The sequence below is a fragment of the Homo sapiens genome, chromosome 22 (genome assembly GCF_000001405.40).
Source record: "Homo sapiens chromosome 22, GRCh38.p14 Primary Assembly".
NCBI classification, from domain to species: domain Eukaryota; kingdom Metazoa; phylum Chordata; class Mammalia; order Primates; family Hominidae; genus Homo; species Homo sapiens.
The window spans coordinates 45930332-45951671 of NC_000022.11; the positions used below are offsets into that span (position 1 = coordinate 45930332).

General features: G+C 58.6%; 1 protein-coding gene across 2 annotated transcripts in view, besides 1 other annotated feature; it reads right to left on the reverse strand.

Annotated features, from left to right (window-relative positions):
• The window catches only part of WNT7B (Wnt family member 7B), a 56797-nt gene that overhangs the window by 9966 nt on the left and 25491 nt on the right, over window positions 1-21340 (reverse strand). For both annotated transcript variants that reach the window (NM_058238.3, NM_001410806.1), the window contains exons 2-3: window positions 19589-19815; window positions 767-1038 (exon numbers count right to left, since the gene is read on the reverse strand). In NM_058238.3, coding sequence (NP_478679.1) covers window positions 767-1038; window positions 19589-19815 — 499 coding nt within the window. The remainder of the gene's footprint in view (window positions 1-766; window positions 1039-19588; window positions 19816-21340) is intronic.
• Window positions 4864-5364: an enhancer, noted in NCBI's record as "H3K4me1 hESC enhancer chr22:46331075-46331575 (GRCh37/hg19 assembly coordinates)". NCBI's record gives its function as "activates a minimal SCP1, AML or CMV promoter by ChIP-STARR-seq in naive H9 embryonic stem cells {active_cell/tissue: H9 hESC(naive)}" and the evidence as "EXISTENCE:reporter gene assay evidence [ECO:0000049][PMID:30033119]".

Below are 21340 nucleotides of genomic sequence, written 5' to 3' on the forward strand. Positions count from 1 at the left end.
CTGTCCCACACCTGAGAAGCCCCCTAGGCTCTGCTGCCCTGGGTGCAGCCCCCAGGCCTCGGAGCCGGAGCCGGCTGGGCGTTCCACTTGGCTGGCCACCCTATCTCAGGCCATCTTGCCGCCGTGCAGCTGCTCCTCCCAGCCCAGTATCTGGGGCCCTCATCTCCAGTGGGCGGGGCCCGGCTTGCTCTGACTTCTTCCCCGGTGTGTCCCTGCCTGAATTTCCTCCATTGCCACCCACCACACTCCGTCCCGCCCCATGCAGGAGCGGCCTGCTCCCCAGCAGCCCCCGGCTCACAGCTTCCACCTTCCTCAGGCTGCTCCTGCCTCCTGGGGGCATCCCTTCCTTGCTGAGCAAAAAGGCTGCCTCTGCCAGGAAGTCTTTCCTGGTGTGCCGAGGTGACCTCCGGGACCAGGAACGCCAAGGGCAGGGACATGGGCTGTGGCCTGGGACCCTCCGCCACGGGGTCCCCAGCCAAGCCCAGCTCACACCCTGCATGGAAATGGAGTCCCCATCTTCCCTGGGGGCCGTGAGCATCGCGTTGGCATTCAGAGCCTCGGCTCTCACATCTCTGGATGGGGACAGCCTCCTCCCGGTGCTGGGAGGCTCAGAGCCATGCACGTGGAGGACCCAGACGGCCCCACCCCCTGCACACCTACGGAGACTCAACTGCTTCTGCTAGAAGAGGAGCCTGAGGCTCCGAGAGGTCAGCGGGTGATACAGCGGTCCCAGCTACGGCCCCCACCAGCCGCACCCGCACCCTACCTTCCTGCCGGCCTCATTGTTATGCAGGTTCATGAGGCGCCGCGCGTTCTTCTTGATCTCCCGAGCGTCCACGAAGCGCCGGGAGAAGTCGATGCCGTAACGCACGTCGGCCGAGCAGCCGCCCCACTTCCAGCCCTCGGCTTGGTTGTAGTAGCCCTGCTTCTCGCGGTCGCAGCCGCAGTTGCTCAGGTTCCCTTGGCTGCAGGCAGCGGTGACGGCGTGCGCCACGCCAGCCGCGGTGATGGCGTACGTGAAGGCAGCCTCACGGCTCCCTGCGGGGACAGACAGGTGCAGAAGGTGAGACCCCAGGCCCTGGGCCAGGTGGGCTCAGGGGACAGGGTGCCGGGCCTCGATCCACCTGCTGTTGGCTGGTTGTGTGACCCTGGGCTCATCGCTCGCCCCCTCTGTGCCTCTGACTCACCAAAGCGGGGCTGATGGGAGCCATCTCTCAGGGCTATGGTAGGGGCAGCACCTGGTATACAGCAGGCCCCAGGTCACCCTGTGAGTGCCTGGTACACAGCAGGCCCCAGTGCACCCTGCGACTGCCCTCCAGCATGCAGTGCTGCCGACAGCTTCTCTCCCTGTTCCCAAGACTGGGCAGGAGAGGCCCAGTTTCTCCAGCCCTGAGAGTGACTGGTGGGGACCTGTGGAGGGGGATGGGTGTCCATGCCTCTGCTCCTCCCCTCTGCCAGCCTCCCAGGAGCCCCTCCTCATGAACGGGCATTTGCACTGACCCCCGTGGGGACCAGGCATGCATGGCTGATGGAACCTGGGGCCACGGGGAGCATGGGGGGCCTCGTCCCCACCCCCAGCCAGGAACCCAGGCAGAAGTCACACAGCTCAGAAGCTCTTTGTTGCCATCTCCCTCTTGGTCCACCCGCCTTCAGTCCGTCTCCAGATCCTCGGCCCATTTTCCTCACTTCCTCCTAATACCCCTGCCTGACCCAGGGGCCCCAGAACTGCCTGGACTTGGGCAGCAGTCCTCCCTGCTGCTTCATCTCCCCAGCCACCAGCTGGTTCCCTCCAAGGGCAGTCTGGCCAGGTCCCTCGCTGGCACCTTCACTGCTCCCCTCTGCCGGTAGAGCCAAGCCCACGGCTGAGCTGGGAGGGGAGGGTCCCAGGTCAATGCCTACTGGCTGCCTCAGCCCTCTCTCCCCATCCTCTGCCCAGAACAGTGACTCAGTCCTTCCAGGCGCTGCTCACATCCCCTGGGGATTATGTGGTCTTTTTGGTGGCATTCCCTCCCACTTCATACCCAAATCCCAAGGACCTTCCAAGGCCCGGGTCTGAGGCCTCCCTGTCCAGGCAGCCTTCCCAGACCCCCCCCGCCAGAAGGGAGCACTTGGTACCTGACCCTTCAGTTCCTGATTTGACCCAGATCCGGACACCCTCTCCCTGGTGAGCCCTACCAGCGGGGACTTCCATATGGGTCCGAAGACCCGAGATGGGCAGGTTCAGCTCTCATTTCCTCTTTGTTTCCCCCATCTCCAGGCCAGGCCCTGTGCATCCTTCCATCCTGGCTCTGGACTCTTGGGTCCCTCTCAACCTGCCCCTGGCTGAGTCCATGTCATTTCTATGTCCCCAGCGCCTGGTCCATGTGGACACCGAGCAGGCTCAACCATGCCAGCTGGAGGACCAAGAGCCAAACTCCAGTGAGTGGGAACCTCCCTGCCCATCTCAGCAACAGGAAGAACAGGGACAGTGCTCAGCCCAGGAGAGGGCAGCTGGAGACTCACACTGCTGGCATGGTGCAGTCCCCTGCCCAGCACCCGCGAGCACCTGCACAGCCCTCAGTTGCCCACTGCTGTGCCTGTTATTGGGGCTGAGGTGACAGCCCGCAGATAGAGAGGCAAGTCAGGTCTGTTCTATGAACAACTACTGAGCACCAACGGCATGCCCAGCTTTGTGCTAGGGGCTGTGTGCATGCTCTGGGGCCACTTCCTTGCCCGCAGCCTGCTGGGGGCTCAGCCAGGTGGGGGTCCCTCTTCCCCTAGGGTATCTTCCATCAGGGTGAGGACTGGGATGGGGCCCACCAGCCTTAGGAGAAGACCTTGGTAGGCTGTCTGTCTGCCGTCATGGAGGGAGCCACAGCTTCCCGGGAACTTCCTTCCTGAGAAGAACTAAGGGGAGGATGGTGTCCAGCATCCCTCCCTCCCCAGCAAGGTCCGAGACTGCAATGATCAGCCTCCTCTGAGCTGCAGGCAGCACAGCCCCTGCCTTTGAAGGGCCTCATCCTGCCAGCCTCTCCTCTTCTGGCCACTGCCTACCCACGCTGCCCGCTCCCTGCCTGGGCCAGGGCCAGGAGGATATAGGAACCCACTTCCCCGAGTCTAAATTAGGTCAAGATGATGCGAAGGGAAGCCCATGCATGAGGTGTGAAGTGGGGTATTAAACGCCCCGTTCTGTCTGCATTCCCCAAGCACAACAGGGCCCACTGGCAAGAAAGCCTCAGAAATCTCATGGGGGTAGGGGGAGGGGGCAATAAACCAAGAGGGGGATCCCAGTAAAGGGTGGAGAAGGGCCACAGAGGGATCATGGCACCTCAAAGGATTCACTGACCTACCTCCGTGGAGTGGAGTCAAGGAAGGCTTCCTGGAGGAGGTTACATCTTAAGTGGGTACAATCTTAACAAGGAGCATGGATTCGCTTGCTGTGTGTGTGTGGTGTATGTGTGGCTGTGACAGGCGTGCACTCCCGGCCTGGGCACACAGAGGCAAAGATGCTGAGCTGTGGAAGGGTTTGGTGAGGTCAAGAGTGGCCACAGAGGAGGGGGAGAATGTCTCGCAAGCAGGTGGCACTTTCTGTCCAGGTGCCAGGGCCAGCTGCTGGGGAGGGCTGGATGTCAGGGCACTTGTCTGGCCACACAGGCGTGGATTCCGGAACATTCAGAGGCCGGTCGGCACCAGCAACAGCGTAGCCCACCCTCAGGGCTCTCCACATGCGCCGGGCGCACACCCAGCCCTCACATGCGCTCCCATTTCACCTGGACGTTAGGATGAGGCGCGTCCAACCATGATTCCCGGTTTACAGAGGAGGAAGCAGAGGCACAGAGAGTGGCTGGAGCAAGATTCAAACCCAGGGAATGAATTCAAAGACCAGGAAGGCTGACGGAGGAGCAAAGTGCCTGGGGTCGGGGGCCCTGGAAGGTCCTTCTGCCCCCAGCTTGGCCTCTCTGAGGCTAAGGTGACCTGGGGCAGGAGGAGAGGGGGGATGTGGGCTATGCAGCCCCCAGGGAAGATGCTGCCTGTGGACAGTCTGTGGACCTGGGGGAAAGGCGCAGCTGTAGGCAGGCTCTGGGTAGGAGCTCTAGGGAGGCTGAGCTGGCTCTGGAGTGGGCATGTGTCACCCGATGGAGGGGGTCTAGGAACCCCAAATGATTGTGCGGGCCCAGCCGGTGGACCTTGAGGACAGATGTGGATGTCCCCTCAGAGGTCCTGGAACAACAGCCTGTGACCCTCCTCTTCCTGCCCCATAGGAAGGCTGCAGAGCGGGTCAGGGGATGCCACTGTCCTGAAGTCCCTGAGCAGGCTGGCAGATCCACGGCTGGGTTTGCACCCTTGGAGGACACTTCCCACAAGCCTCCCTTCCAGCCTCCCGCAAGCGCCTGCTCTCACCTGGCTATGCCTGCCCCAGGCTCAGACTCAGTTACTCACCGGTTACTCATCGCCTGCCGCTCCTGCTAATTCCTTTTTTATTTGCTTTTAATGAGCCAAACCCTCTGGTCTCTCGTCATGGAGACAAGGGGGAGGTGAGCTGCAGAGAGTCATAGTTTTGGCACAATCAGTAAGAACGACCTTAGGTCCGGCGAGAGTCGCTGCCGTGGACTGTGGGCTCCCGTGCGCCCGGCACGTTGCCTGTGTTGTCTGGTTTAATTCTCACAACAGCCCACGGGGGAGGGCCCGTTACCCCATGTTACAGACCTAGACGCCCACTCCGAGGGCTTTGTCATGGTGTGCCTAGGTGTGTAGTGGGAAGGGCAGAAGGGCTGCAGGCTTCCCCCGTGTCCCTCCCCAAGTCCCTCCTGGGGCCGTGACTGGGCACCTTGCCAGTCCGCCCACACGCCATCCTTCCTCCAGGCTGACAGCGAGCCAGTGCTTAGACTTAGAAGCCGGTCCTCTGCAGTGGGTGCAGACAGCCTGGACCCATGTGCCTTGCTCAGCAGCTGTCAGTGGCCCCCAAGGCCTCTGAGACGACTTCCAGTGCCTTGGCCTGGCCCCCAAGGCCCCAGAGGCCTGACCCCACCGCTCCTCGCCCACCACTGCCTGCAGCCCAGCGTGGCCTGCCTGCAGGTTGGGCAGCCACCTCTGGTGCACAGTAACTACTCCTGAATAAAGGACCTGCTGGCTTCCTGCCGCCTGCCCTGGGGGACAGCAGCCCCCTCCCTTCCTGGAATACCTGCCCACCCTCCCACATATCCACACACTCCTCAGGCTCTGGACGCAGGGAGGGAGGCTCCCTCCTCCCCGAATGCCCTCTGTAGTGGGCACACCCTCCCCTGGGCTCTCACTGGGTGCCCCTCAGGCTGCAGGCAGGATCCACATCTGATTCTTTTCTGTACCTCCCACCCATCGCTGTTTCCCAAATCCCATGCATGAGCAGGTCTGGACTGGGCACCTCCCCCACACCACCTTATCTCCAAGACAGCCCCATTCTGATCAGACCCATTTCACAGATGGGAAAACCGAGCCTTCAAAGCAGGAAGGGATTTGCAATAGGCCCATGGCAGTGACGAAAGCCATCTGAGCTCAGCAGCTGCCCTAGATGTGTGTGGTGATGGGGAAGCTGGATGAGGGCAGCACGGATGCTCTGTTTGGGGCCGGCAGCTGTCCTGCTGGTACACTTGGGTCTCGGGGGGCCTAGGGGCCTCTCTGAAGACCCACAGCCTACCCAAGCACAGGTCTGTACCCCCAGATTCTAGAGCCAGCAGCAGCATCCAGCAGTATCCCTAGAAAATGCCAGAGCAGACTATATTCTGGCCACCCCTCACCCCACAGCCCTCAAGAGCACTGGGTGGGTTTCTGAGTAATGGTCCTGAAGGTTCCAGCCCTGCGGCAGGATTCACTGTTTCCAGTGCAGGCTATCTCTGGTGCCTCGGCAAGTTACCAGCCCTCTCTGAGCCTGTGTTCCCATTTGATACATGGAACTCAAAATCCTCACCTTGCTGCACAGCCCTAGCTGCCAGCTCTGAGAGCAAACAGGATGAATGGGCATGGTACCCACATCACTAAGATGGTGGGCAGTCCAGGGCCGGCTACGGGTGGACCAGACACAGCAAAGGACTCCAGGACAGACCGAGGTGTCTGTCTGTGCTCCATGCAGACTGGGCTGGAAACAGCCTCTTCCCCAAGGCCAGCCCCATCGGCCCTGCCCAGCTGTCCCCTCAAATCCAGAGTATCAGAGTCCTCAGAGACATGTGGGTAAATGGAGGCTGCTGGGTCAGAAATTGCCTGGCCATGCAAGGGCCATCCAGCTCTGCTCCCTTTTCCGTAAGTTATTTGAACTCAAGCCCTCAAAGGACCCCCTGGCTGGGCCCAGGACAGGCTCAGAGGGAGGAGACGCAGCCCCCTGCCCTGCCTCTGCAGTGCCAGCCAGACCCTGATGTCCAGGGAAGGGGGTGTGTGCTGGGGCAGAGCTGCGCCCTCATCCACAGTCATCTCACTCTGACCATGAGGAGGATGGTGGGGACCCTGGCAGATCTTTGTGAGCAGCTTCTAGAAAGAGCAGATGTGTGTCCTGAACAAAGCCAGGGCTTGGGCAGGATGAGGCTTCCCCCTCTTCTCCTCAGGGCAAAGCTGGGGGCTGAGTCCACCCTCCCAGCCGCAGCTGCCACTCCTCACCATCCACTCAAGCTCCCTGCCACTTCCTAGCGTCCACAGGGGCCGGTGCACTTTTGTTAGAAAGCCATGGTTGAGCTCCTAATGACCTGATTAACTGCACGGAGGAGGAGGTGGGAGAGGTACTTGGTGCCCTCCTAGGAGGAGAGCCAGGAGTCTGCAGCCTCAGTGCTGGGAAGGCCCTTGGGGACCATCCAGTGCGGCTCCTCCATCCCCAGCAAGGAGCCTGAGGCCCAGAGGTGGGCAGCATGCTCCCCAAGGTCACACAGCAGCTCAGGAAATGGGGGATCCAGGACATGAGGTTCTCAAGTGACTGAGGTGAGGGCAAAGGTCTGGGGGCCACACATGCTCCTGGAGCCTTCTGGAAGCAAGGGGGAGGCTCAGAGTCTGACACCCTGCCTTCAAGTCCAGACCCTGAAATTGGCCAGCTGAGTGACCTCAGACTGGTGAAGGGGCCTTTCTGTGTCCCTGTCTCCCTACCTGCAAAATGAGAGAATTGCTCCAATCTGGCCAGAAGGGCACACACAGTCCTGGGGGCAGGCTGACCTGAGCTTCATGCCTGTAGGTGTGACACACGACACATTTGGGATCTTCGTGGGCAGACACACATTTGGGCATCCCTGGGCAGCAGGTGTGCACCTCAGCACGTGTCCCTGGCGTACACCTGGGCTGACCCTTGGAGGCAGTGCCCGCCAGCTGCCATGTGAACCTGTGCTCACGGGTCTGTGCTTCCGGCCCACACAGTTCAATTCTCCTCCCGTACTTGCCCCTCTTTTTAAAAAATGACATTTTTGTCCGGGCACAGCGGCTCACGCCTATAATCCCAGCAGCACTTTGGAAGGCTGAAGCAGGTGGATCACCTGAGGTCAGGAGTTCGAGCCCAGCCTGGCCAACATGGTGAAACCCCAGGTCTACTAAAAATACAAAATTAGCCAGGCATGGTGGCAGGCACCTGTAATCCCAGCTACCTGGGAGGTTGAGGTAGGAGAATCGCTTGAACCTGGGAGGTGGAAGTTGCAGTGAGCCGAGACCGCGCCATTGCACTCCAGCCTGGGCAATAGAGCGAGACTCCGTCTAAAAAAAAAAATGACATTTTCTACAACTCAATAATAAAATGGTTAACAACTCAATTAGAAAGGACAAAGACTAACGGGTGAAGGGATAAAGAAAAGGTGGTATAGATACACAATGGAGTATTACTCAGCCATGAAAAAGAATGAAACCCTGTCATCCCTGCAGTGGCACGCAGGTCATCATGTGAAGTAAAAGAAGCCAGGCACAGAGAGACAAATATCACATGTTCTCACTCACATGGAGGAGCGAAAAAAGTTGAAGTTATTGAGGTAGAGAGTGGAATGACAGACACCAGCGCCTGGGGAGGGTGTTGGAGGATAAAGAAAGGTGGGTTAAGAGGTACAAAGATGGCTGGGTGCTGTGGCTCACACCTGTAATCTCAGCACTTCGGGAGGTCGAGGCGGGTGGATCACCTGAGGTCAGGAGTTCAAGACCAGCCTGACCAACATGGTGAAATCCCGTCTCTACTACAAATACAAAAATTAGCCAGGCGTGGTGGTGTGCGCCTGTAATACCAGCTACTTGGGAGGCTGAGGCAGGAGAATCGCTTGAACCTGGGAGAGGGGAGGTTGCAGTGAACCAAGATCTCACCACTGCACTCCGGCCTGGGCAACAAAGCAAGAATCTGTCTTGAAAAAAAAAAGAGAGGTACAAATACACACAGGTGGAAGGAGTGAGGTGTAGTGTCTGACAGCATGCTGGGGTGACTACAGTTAAGAACAACATGTTGTGTATTTCAGAACAGCCAGAAGAGAGAACTGGAAATGTTCCCAACACATAGAAATGATAAATATTCTAAAGGAAGGAAATCTTAAATACCCTGACTTGATTGTTACACATTGTATACATGTATCAACATATCACATGGACCCCATAAATATGTGTAATATTACGTATTAATTTTCAATCAAAAAATAAAAGCTAAAAAATAGTAGGCCAAGGACCTGAACAGACATTTGTCCAAAGAAGGTATAAAAACATCCAATAAGCAGACAAAAGATTCTCAGCATCATTAGCTGTCAAGGAAATGCAAATCCAACCCACAGTGAGATGCCACTTCACACGCACTAGGAATAAAAGGCAAAAAAGACTGACAATACCAAGTGTTGGTGAGGATGTGGAGAAATGGGGACCCCTGTATGCTGGTGGCAGTGTGAGATGCTGGTGGCAGTGTGAGATGCTCGTGGCAGTGTGAGATGCTGCAGCCACTGTGGCAAAGTTGGGCAGCTCCTCAAAAACTTAAACGTAGGGTCACCATGTGACCCAGCACTGCCACTCCTATGCATACACTTCAGAGAAATGAAACAGGCGCCCACTTATATATTGTGCAGAAGTATTCATAGCATCCTTATTTGTAACAGCCCAAGGTAGAAACAACCCAGATGTCCATCAATGGACGAAAGGATAAAGAAAATGTGTTCTATCCATACGGCAGAATATTACTCAGCCTTAAAAAGGAATGAAGTATTGATACATGCTACAGTGTGGATAAAACTCAAACATATCGGCTGGGCACAGTGGCTCACGCCTGTAGTCCCAACACTTTGGGAAGCTGAGATGGGCGGATGCCTTAAGCCCAGGAGTTTGAGACCAGCCTGGGCAACATGGCAAAACCCTGTCTCTACAAACACACACACACACACTCACACACACACACACACACACAAAAATAGCCAGGTGTGGTGGTGCACGTGCCTGTGGTCCCAGCTCCTCAAGAGGCTGAGGCAGGAGAGTCACTTGGGCCCAGGAGGTCAAGGTTGCAGTGAGCCATGTTCGCACCACTGCACTCCAGCCTGGGCAACAAAGTGAGACCCTATCTCAACCCCCACCTCAAAAAACCCCAAAACATCATGCCAAGTGAAAGAAGCTAGACACCAAAGGCCACATATAGTGTGATTCCATTTCTATGAAATGCCCAGAGGAGCAGGAGTTGGAGAGTTAGACAGCACCTGAGTGTTGCCAGGGGCGAGAGGACTGGGACTGATTAAGCCACAGGGTTTCTTTCTGGGGTGATGAAAATGTTCTAAAATCAACTGCAGTGACAGCTACACAACTCTGGATATACTAAAGACCGTGGGCTTGTACACATTAAATGGATGAATTGTGAAGTATGTGGATTAGATCTCACTGAAGCTGTGATGGACACATAGGGCCAATGGATGGCTTTCAGAGGGTTTCATACCCGTGTCCTACTCAATTTAAACCCTCTCTGAGGCCCCATGGGTATGAACTAAGACCCCCCACTTCACAATTAGGACACTGGGCTCAGGAGAGGCAGGCGACTGGCCCAAGGTGACACAGCAGGTGAGACACCGAGCCGGGATCTGACCAGGACCCCAGAGTTTGTGCTCAGCCCACTCCACACCCACCGGGACAGGGAAAGCTGCAAAGTCTGCCTTGTGCCTCACTGACCTGGACGCCACGCTTGCCTGTGCCAGCCTCTTGACACTCTACACACGCGCGACACTGCCTGTAACACTCACGTTATTGCCACCTGTGTGTCCCTGGCACCAAGTACAGCCTCCCTCCTGGCTGGACCTCCCAGAATCCCAGGGGTGAGGCTCTCAGCCTCCCATCCATCAAGTAGTTGCCCAAGGTCAAGTGCAAGGCCGAGCACACAGCAGGGCAGAACCAACACACTGAACCCGGGGAGCAGACAGGCTGGGAGCGGCTCACAGACAGTGCCGCCAGAGGCCAGGGGTCAGAGCCACAGAGGAGCCAGCAGGGTAGGGTGGCTGGAGGGACTGGGGTGCAGGGTGGCCAATGAGTGCTCCTCTCAGGAAGGGATGCTGAAGGTGGGTCCCAAAGGATGGGAGAGGTGAGGAACACAGGTTCAGGGAACAGTGCTCCAGGCAGAGGGAACAGCAATGCAAAGACCCTGAGGTGAGAATGAGCTGAGCATGAGTGGTTTGTCCCAGCAGAGATCAGTGATGATGAAGTCGGGGACGGCCCTTGGGGGCTGTACCATGTTGCCCTCAGAGAAGACCTTGGACTTTGTTCTGAAAAGATGGAAGCCCCTGGAAGGTGTCACTTTGACTTACATTGAAAGGGACCCTCCACCCCACCCACCGGGAGGCCTGTGCAAGGGTTTGGGTAAGAAATGCTGATGACCCGCCAGGTAGAGGAGGTGAAAAGCTGCCAGGTCTCAGAGTCTCAGCGTAGAGCTAACGGGATTAGCAAGTGGATCGGGTGAGGGGGTTTAGGGAGGAAAGAGTGCAGAAGGGCCGGGCGCGGTGGCTCACGCCTGTAATCCCGGCACCTTGGGAGGCTAAGGCGGGCGGATCACCTGAGATCAGGGGTTTGAGACCAGCCTGGCCAACATGGCGAAACCCCGTCTGTACTAAAAATTACAAAAATTAGTCTGGTGTGGTGGCAGGGGCCTGTAATCCCAGCTACTCGGGAAGCTGAGCCAGCAGAATCACTTGAACCCAGGAGATGAAGGTTGCAGTGAGCTGAGATCGCGTCAGTGCACTCCAGCCTGGGTGACACTCCAGCCTTTGTCTCAAAAAAAAAAAAAAAAAAAAGAGTGCAGACTCTTCTGCAGTGAGGACCCCAATGCAGTGAGGGCAGCTGGTGGGGGGCTGTTACCAGGAAGCTGGACAGGATCAAGTGGAAAGAGTTGCCTCGGCCACGGGTGGCTTAAGGTGCCCAGGGATGGCAGGAGAGAGGCGAGGGGCAGGTGGGAACTCAAGCCTGGCCCCGCGAAGATGTCCCAGCATTGCCCAGCCCCCACCTCCCGGGGCCAACTCCCCATGGAACTGGGGCTTGTGCTCCGTGACCCTGGCCAAGGCCGTCACTCCTCGAGCCTCAGCTTCCCATTACCATGGGATGAGGCCTGGTGTCGTGGGTTCTTTAAAATCCCTTTAGCAGGGGAGCTTTTGTGAGATAGACTTCCCTGAAGAATAGGTCAGGGGAGGACTGCTGGGGCTGAGGTAGGGTAGGGATGCAGGGTGGGGTGGGGTCCCTGAGGCCTGGCTGGGGAGGGGTCCCTGGGACACGGCTGGCTGGGGAGCTCCTTGGTTTTCTGAGCCCCCATCTGCCCCCTACCCCACCTGATTCCCAGGCTCTTCACAGCCTAGAGCTGGATGGGGAGTACTGTCCCCGCCTCCCCAGTTTACTGGTGTAGAGATTGAGACCAAGGGAGGTGAGGAGACACCCCCGGGCCACATCCGCAGCTCCTGGTGTTACCCGGCCCAGCTGGTGTGGCACCCGTGTCCAGGCTGGGGGTCTCGGTCTAGACAGGACTCAAAGTGGCTGTTGGGCACAGAAGCTGGAAGAGAAGCTCAGGGCCCAGGTGGGGCCCCACAATGGCCCCCTGTGGCTGTCCACACCCCAGCCTGCCCTTTGACCCTAGCCAGGGCTCAGTCCCAGGGGGACAACTCACTGCCTGAGCTAGTCTGGGATCTGCATCCCTGACACACACAGAGCTCAGGCTGGGGACATCGGGGTGGAGGCAGAGACCAAGGCACAGGCAGAGAAGCCTCCAGGCCACGGCTTGGCCCCAATCCCTGCTTGTGCAGTTGAAGGATCAGAAGCCCAGAGCCCTCGCCTGCCTGGCCCTGCTGCAATCCTGACCTGGACCAGCCGGGGCCAAGGTGCACTCTGGCCAGGGAGGGCTGGACAGGCTGCCTCACACCCTGCACCTAATTCTGCGGCTTACACGAAGGTGATAGCAGCACGCACCTCATGGGGTCCTACGTGGATGAGTTGAGGCAGTGGAGGGCTCAGGACGGGTAGGAACATAAAAGTGCTGGATGCGTCTGGGCCGCTTTTATTAATATTACCCGTCTCCAAGCAGGCCTGGACCCTGGGCCTCATGGTCCTGGCCTGGGTGCAGCCTGAGTGGGTGCTGTGTGTGTGTGTGTGCGTGTGTGCATGTATGTGCGTGTGTGTGCGCGCGTGTGTGCAGTGTGCACGTGTGTGCATGTGTGTAGGCGTGTATGTGTGCAGTGTGCATGTGTGTGTGCGTGTGTGCAGTGTGCATGTGTGTAGGCGTGTATGTGTGCAGTGTGCATGTGTATGTGTGTGCGCGTGTGTGCAGCATGCATGTGTGTGCAGTGTGCACATGTGTGCACGTGTGTGCGTGTGTTTGTGTGTGTGCATGTGTGTGTGTGCCAGGTGTACTGCTGTATGTCTCTCCACACATCTCTGTCCTTCCCCCCCTGTTTCTCCCTCTCCCTCTGGGTCCCTTGGTCCCTCTCTGTCCCTCTGTCTCTCTCCAGCCCCACCCGGACCCCACCCGGGCTCGGGCTGAGTCAGCGTCTCCACACTAAGCTCTTCCCTGCCGTTGTCATAAACAGATCATTGGAAAAAGTCATGCCAGGTCCAAACACGCCGGCGCCCGTGCGCCCGAGGCCTTTGTTCCGACCCAGCGGAGGCCCTCACACGCCAAGCGGCAGGCCCCCAGGTGGGGACAGCAGGCTCCGAGTGGGAAGGACCTGGCCTTCCGGGAGTTTTCCCCAGCCCTGAGGTGCTCGGGGAGCCCAGGAGGCCCCTCCTGTGTCCAGCCCAGGGTGGCCTGCCCTCGGGAGTGCTCTGGCAAAGCCAGCAACTGCCTGTGTGAGGTGGCACAGAGACCCCTTCCTCCCCGGGGCTGCCCCAGGGCCTCTCAGCACCTGGATCCTGGCGGGCGGTTCCCTGAGAGCCTGCGGGCTTCTCTGGCCCTTGGGGGCAACATGGCCTTGGGTAAGCCACATGGTCTCCTTGGGAGCCTCAGTCTCCCCATCTGTGATGTGTAGACAACAGGACCTGAGGCGGTCATGTGACAGGGCCCAGCCCAGGCGGGGGCTACCGACATGAAAGAAATGACCCTCCTGAAAAGGCGGCAGGAGTTGGGCTGAGTAATGGCTGAGGGCCGGGCTGCTGTGCCCCTGTGAGGCCGAGGGAGGGGCCCTACCCACCCCGGGGTCTGTGTCCTGCCTCAGTGGCCCAGGGCTCTGGAGCCTTTGCCCACGGAACCCACGTGGGAAGCTCTGCGGGGACCTCCATGTCCCCATTCTGAGGAGAAACCCCAAATCCTGGCAGAGTCCCAGCCCCCACCTCGGCCCCTCATGAGGCAGGTGGGGCATCAAGGTCCCCAGGGCACCAGGCTGCACCCAGGGTAACACAGTGGGACCCGGGCAGATAGGGCCTGTGTCCTTGGCCATAGCCTCTCTGCAGCCAGACTCCATCCCCACTCCACTCTTGTCCGTCTCTCAGGGCTCCGCTGGGGAGGATGGAAAATTCCCAACTTGCATGAGTTCCAGGTGGCCTCGGAGGGGCCATGTGGAAGGACTGGGACTGGAGGACCAGCAGCCGCCTAGCCCACAGGGCCTCCATGCCACCCCCAGGAAGGGCCACAGCCCTGCCACTGCCATAGCCCCTCAGGCTCCGTCCTCCCAGGAGCCTGTGAGCTGCCTTCCCGGGGAGGGGCAGCCCCGGCCTCGTCCCACCCTGAGCCAGGAGTGGGCTTGGGCAGCTTCGCCGCTAGGAAAGTCTTTCTGACCCTGACCTTCAAGGCCCCAGTTGTCCGTACAGTCCTGGCTGCCTGGCCCCTGAGCCTCAGAAATGTCTGTTGAGCTGCCTTGGGCTGGGCCCCTGAGATGAGGGTGGAGGTGGGGAGTGACCAGGGTCGTCAGCCTGGGGCCTGCAGACCACCAAGGTGTGGCCAGCACGAGACTGGGCCCAGCAGGCATTGCCTCCCGGCCTGGCCCCATTGGCCTGTGCTCACCCATCGTGTCCTGGGTGCAAGCCCTGGCCTGGCATACAGCAGACACTCAAGGAATGCAGGCTGATGAACAACCAGGCCTGATGAAGGTGGCTGCCCTCCCACCCCCGCGCTGACTGTCCTCCGAAAACGGCTGCTCAGTGACCCTCTACCCTCAGACTGCCCCACCCCACACTGGAGGACAGTGTCCTGGGAGTGACAGTCAGATCCAGGTTCAATTGTCCCGTCTGCCCCTGACCAGATGACTTTGGGCCACCCCCTCCTGTCCCCTATGGGTGCAGCACCGCTCAACGGAAGGTTCAGGTGAGCCGCAGGTGTCCGCTGAAATTTTCTAGTAGCCACATTAAGAAAAGTGAAAATAATTTTGGTGAACTTAATTTTTTTTTTTTGAGACGGAGATTCACTCTTGTTGCCCAGGCTGGACTGCAGTGGCGTGATCTTGGCTCACTGCAACCTCCACCACCCGGGTTCAAGTGATTCTCCTGCCTCAGCCTCCTGAGTAGCTGGGAGTACAGGCATGTGCCACCACACTCAGCTAATTTTGAATTTTTAGTAGAGATGGGGCTTCACCACGTTAGGCTGGTCTCAAACTCCTGACTTCAAGTGATCCACCCGCCTCAGCTTCCCAAAGTGCTGGAATTACAAGTGTGAGCCACCATGCCTGGCTGGTGAACTTAATTTTGATAGTATATTTTATTTAGCCAATATATCCAAAATCTTACCATCTCAATATGTAATCAGTAGAAGAGTTATTCAAGAGATACTGTATTTGCTTTGGGGATTTGAGTCTTCAAAATCCATGCATATCTTACACTTACGGCACATGTCGGTTGGTCCACACCATATTACAAACACTTCCCTGCCAGAGGTGGCTTGGGGTCACCAGAGTGAACAAGTGAAGAATCCAGCCCTCGAGACCTCGTCCCTGCTGGGGGTCACTGGGCCTGGCCTGCAAAGCCCCGCAGGGCGGCAGGTGCACCTGGCCCGGGAGTCACCCTCTCACCACACGACCCCTGGCCTCTCAGATACCCCGAGATGGGTCCCTTGGCCCCTCAGGCTGTCCAGCAGCCAACAGCCCTTGCTGAGCCCCTGCTGTGTGCAGCCCAGGAAGACACTCCCCACGCAGAGCTCGCCCCCAAAGCAAACAGGAGCGGGTGACAGCTGTGCTGGTGTCCCGGGCCGCTCACGTGAGCATGGATTAGGGGCAGTCTCTATGCCTGGTCATGTCTGAGGCTAGCACATGATGGGCAGGACTCAGCATTCCCTGGCAGCTCAAGGGTGGGGCTAGGGGGCCCAAGAGCACGCAGTCGCTGCCCCAGGCCCAGGCCCGTGGTCCTGGGGGACTCTGGGCTCTAGGGGGATGGGGGCGGCGCAGTGGTTGGAAGGAAGCAGCCTGCAGAGGGAAGCCCTCACCTGCTCAGAATCTCCTATGCCTTCTGGACCCTCCAGAGCTTCACTGGTACTCCAGCCCTGCCCTCACCCTCCAGCCTCTCCTGTTAGCCCTGGAAGCTCCTGTCATTCCTGCAAAAGTGCTCTCGGCTTTCTGGCCCCAGAGCCTCAGCAGATGCTGTTCCGTCCACCTGGCACCCCCTTCCCTGCGCTCACCTCCAGTCTGGCCTGGGTCACCCCCTCCGGGAAGCCCTTGCTGACATCCCTGATTCGATGATAGTGCCTGGTTGAAACTCCCTGCCTTGTTGGGGGGCCCCAGGTTTCCAACAGACTTTCCTGGGATACGAGGTTCTCCTGATGCTCACGCTGCCCCTTCGTTCTCCTGCCCCCACCGTGGCAGAACACTGCTCGGCTGGGGACAGTCACCTCTAAGCTCATTTCCAGTCAACAGAAGACACAAGAGACAAGCCTCTCTCGACACATGAGGAATAGGCCTGGGATGGGCTCAGGAGGCCTCCAGGCACGAGGGGGACCACAGCAGTGGAGGGGGGCCTAGTGTGAGCCTTGACCCTCTGAGGCGAGCAGAGCAACTGGAACCCAGGGGCCCAGGGCAAAGCCAGCACAGGGTCCTTAGAAGAAACCATCTGTCTAATGGGGAGAAGTGAGCGCCCCATCCCCAGAGGCATACAAGCACCCACACCAGGTGATGGAAAAGGGATTGGAACTTTGCACAGGGGATTGATTTGCCCTTTTAAGGGGTACCCTTTCAGCCCTCGAGATTTAGGCACAGCCCAAGGTCAACGCCTGAAAGGGGCTGTCCCACCCACACAGGCCAAGCCCCTTCTCAGGGCCAATCATTAATTGGCACTGCTTGAGTGGCTGTTCCCACGAGTGTCCTGGCAGCCTGCCAACCTATGGCCCAGCTCCCAGCCCATGCCAGGGCACCCAGCTGGCCTCGGACATGGCTGGCCTCCCTGATCAGCCCCTCTTCCTGCTCATGACTCCCCGCAGCTGAGCCCTGGAAGGGGAACGGGGCCTGGCGTGCTTGGGGAGGAGAGAGGAGTCAGATACGCCCGAAGCTCTGATTCTCAGAAGGGATGTGGGGAACCAGGGTGAATATGGGAGGCAGCTACTGAGATTCCCGGCTAAGAAGTTCACTTTATCCTGAGGCCATAAGGAGCTACTGCAGGTTTTGGAGGAAGAGCTTCTGTTTAACTCAGCAACTAGGGCTGGTGTGGGCAGGAGGCAGTGACAGCTGCCAGGGGAGGGCCAGAAAAGCAGACCATGCTGCAGCCATAGGGCAGAGCCCTGAGGTGTATGGGGAAATGATACCAGGTTTCTGCTGAGACAACTGGCCGGGAGAAAGCTGGGGACAGGAGATTTAAGTAACGGGTGCTGAGTGTGTCAGGCCAGAGGTTCGCATGGGTCGCAGGGAATGGAAGCCATGAGCAGGAGTGAGCCTGCGGCCAATAGGGCAGAGCGGGGCGAGGGGGCCAAGGTGCACCTGGAGGAGCTGCCACTTCCCAGCTGGGACTGGGCAGAGAAGTCCAGGCTACAAGCCGGGGCCCAGAAGCCAGGGAAGAAGGGGAAAAGTTGACACCAGGAAGGTCACAAGCGGCCCAGACCAAGAGCAGTAGGGGCGATCAAGGGTGTGAGGTGAGGATGGTGGGTGTGGACAGCTCTGCCAAAATGTTTGCTTCTGAAACGCTCGGGAAAGCAACAGGGGTGTCTTAGGTGGGCTCCCTAGCAGAAGAGACTGAGACGGGATGCAGCGCTCCCAGGATCGAGGAACAGGACAGGACACACAGCCATATGCCACACAGCCTGATCCCCAGGCGAGCTCGGGGACCCCACAGTGATGCCCAGGGTGGCCCACACGTCCCTCACCCCATGTCTCATGGTCCCAAATAAAGTCCAAGCTCCCAGCCCTCTGTCGAGCAGCAGGACGATTTCCACGTCTGCCCCTCTCCTGGCGCAGCGAGGCAGCAAGGATTAGCAGGAACAGCGAGGGACACCTGATCGACGCTCAGCTCCACCACAACTCCCCGGGGGCTCGGCCGGGAGGCAGGGGCACCCACAGCTGCCTCTGAGCCCGCCAGCTCAGCGCTGAGGGGCCAGGCAGGCAGATGGGCCCTGGCATGAGTGAGCACTCGTGCCGACGCCCTCCCCACTGGGGTGGATGGGCAGCCCTGCCTGCCACAGCTGGCACCTGGAGGGAGGGAACTGCACTTGGGTGGTGGGGCCCCAGGGAGCGGGCGGTGCCACCCTCTTCGCTGTGCCAGGCGCCACCCACAGGCTGCTCACCACAAAGCGGGCCCCAGGGGCTTTTCCCCTGCGCCACCCCCAGCCCCACACCAGCGTTCCAAGCCCTGCAGAACCTAGGTCTGGCCTGTGTCCCGGCAGCTGCGGCTCTGCTCGGCTCCAGGATCAGAAGGACATGTTATGCCCATGGGCTGGGCACCCCTGCAAGCCTGGCACTCTGCCAGTTATCCCCCCCCTCCTCTGCCTCTTGCCACAGCCTGGAGGGCAGGGTACATCACTAGCCCCACTCCCATGCACACAACAGCAGTTTACTGAGCACCTGGGAGAGCCATGGGGACCCACACGAGGGCCTACTGGCTCGGAGCTCACATCACCAGTGGGGAAGCTGAGGCCCTGAGCAGCCCCGAGTGACGTGTTCAAGGTCACACAGCTGGATTCAAACCCAGGTCAGGCTCCAAAGATCCCTTTTTTTTTTTTTTTTTTTTTTTTTTTTTTCCCCTGAGACAGAGTCTTGCTCTTTTACGCAGACTGGAGTACAATGGTGCCATCTCGGCTCACTGCAACCTCTCTCCGCCTCCCGGATTCAAGCAATTCTCCTCCTTCAGCCTCCCAAGTAGCTGGGATTGTCTGGCTAATTTTTGTATTTTTAGTAGAGATGGGGTTTCACCATGTTGGCCAGGATGGTCTCGATCTCTTGACCTCAGGTGATCCACCCCCCTCGTCCTCCCAAAGTGCTGGGATTACAGGCATGAGCCACCAGGTCCGGCCCAAAAGTCACTTTTTAAAGCCCCTCTCTGGGCTCAGTCTCCTTGTCTGTAAAATGGGCATGATGAAGCCTTACCCCCAAGGCTGTGAGGACAGGGAGGGGTTGTGGCCTCAGGGGCTGTGCACAGGCAGCAGGGATCTTGCCAGCCCACCTGGCAGGTTTCGGTGATTGCTTGGTGTCCATCAAACCACTCCCCACACCCGCCCACCCACCCTGCCCTCCGGCCATTGGATTCCCCGTGCTCCACGTGTCATGCTGGAGCATCCTGCACAGTTCACTCGGCTCCCTCTACCCAGCTCCACTCTCGGAATCTACGACATTCACACAGCACTTCCTGTGCCCCAACTACCCCCTGCAGTAAGTGTTACTATTCCCTGCTCTCCAGATACAGGAATGGAGGTTCTGCCAGAAGAGGTAACGTGCCTCCCTCTACACGGCTGCTAGGCAGCGAAAGAATGGGCCCCAACCACTGCACGGCACCGCTAGCACCACCGCGCCACCAGCCTACAGGCCCAAGGGCCCACGGCCACGTCACGACGATGTCCTCCAGCCCCGAGCAAGGACCTTCATCTGCACACAGCCTGGCTCCCATTGAGGCCTCCCCTGCCCCAGAAGCAGTGGTGCTGCCTAGGGCCAGGCCAGGCACGCAGAAGGGCTCACAGGAAGGCAAAGAAATTGGCCCCCCAGGAGATGTGTGCAGAACAGCGGCCTAGGCTGGCCTTCAGTGGGTGGCCTGGCCTACTGCCCCTGGCCACAATGGCTGGGCCCCTTGAGCCCAGAGGCGCCCTTACCTACTCGGAGCTCTTGCCCGAAGACGGTCTTCTCGCCGAGGGCAGAGCAGTTCCAGCGTCCGAAGCGGAACTGGTACTGGCACTCGTTGATGCCCATCTGCGCCCCCTCCCCAATCACAATGATGGCATCGGGCCGACTCTGGCAGATGGCACGCTGCCGCGGGGCTAGGCCAGGAATCTTGTTGCAGATGATGTTGGCTCCCAGGGCCACCACGGATGACAGTGCTCTGTGGAGGGGAGGAGACAGAGGCCGTGAGACGGCGGCGGCCAGCGCCCCTCCTCACCCCCAACACCTTTCCCCCACTCAGCCTCTCAGTCACAGGCCCTGCACTAGCTCCGCCCACCAGGGCACAAGCAGATCCCTGCCCTCAAGGGGCTGTTTCCCATCAACTCACATGCGTGACCCCAGGAGACCACACCAGTTCACCCCAACTCACACGCGTGACCCCAGCCACACACACCCAGGCCTCTGAGCCTCAGAATGGAGAATCACGCAACCGCAAGTCCCACAGCTCTCCAGGCCACTGAGTCAGATACACAGCCCTTCAGATCAGACAGCATCATGCTTGGGATGTGGCAGCCGCCAACTCGGGACTGTCTGCGCTGTCTCTAAGCGGCAGACCCCAACTCCCCGACCAATGGGGCTTTCCCCTCATTTATAAATTCCCCGATGGCCCCTCCATGGCACCTGGGCCAGGCAGGCTGCTGAAAAGGCCGGCAGCCAAGCCCATCCGGTACTGACTCCAGCTCCGACCTGTGTGTAACTTTGAGAAGGCACTCCCCGTCTGAGCCTCAGTTTCCACACCCATGAAATGGGGGTATAAAACACCCATCCCCCACCACCCAACCAAAGGCTCAGACGACCACAGGGAGAAAGCCCGCACCGGGAATGGTGGCTGTTGCTGTTTTCTCTCCTGTCAGGGTGACTGGGTGCACGCAGAGGAAGAAATTAGGCCTGCAGCAAATTGAGCACCTACTGTGTGCCGGGCTTGGCAGGGGCCTTATTGCAACACTGCAGCCTTGCAGTGGTCCACTGAGGGGAACTTTGTCATTAATCTCCTAGCAACTCTCAGGACCTGAAGCCCTAGACAAGAACCCGCAGGTCACGCTCACTCTACTTCAAGTGATATCAGCGGGATTGTCATTTGTTCATTTGTTTGTTTGTTTTGAGACAGAGTTTCGGAGTCTCACTCTGTCGCGCAGGCTGGAGTGCAGTGGTGTGATCTCAGCTCACTGCAACCTCCACATTCCGGGTTCAAGCCATCCTTTTGCCTTAGCCTCCCGAGTAGCTGTACTACAGTTGCCCACCACCACACCCGGCTAATTTTTGTATTTTTAGTAGAGACAGGATTTCACTGTGTTGGCCAGGCTGGTCTCGAACTCCTGACCTCAGGTCATCTGCCCGCCTCGGCCTCCCAAAATGCTGGGATTACAGGTGTGAGCCACTGCACCCAGCCTTGTGTGTTTTTTTAATGAGGTGAAATTCCCATAACATAAAATGAACCATTTTGAAGTGTACAGTTCTGTGGCATTTAATACATTCGGTGTTGTGCAACCTCCAGCACCGTCAGGTTCCCAGATATTTCTGCCACCCCAGAAGGAAACTGTACCCATCAGTCACTCCCCGTTCTCCCCTCCCCGACCCAGCAACCACCAGTCTGCTTTCTGTTCCCATGGATTTGCCCATTCTGGATGTTTCCTATGGATGGAACCATTCATTGTGTGACCTTTGGCGTCTGGCTTCTTTCACTT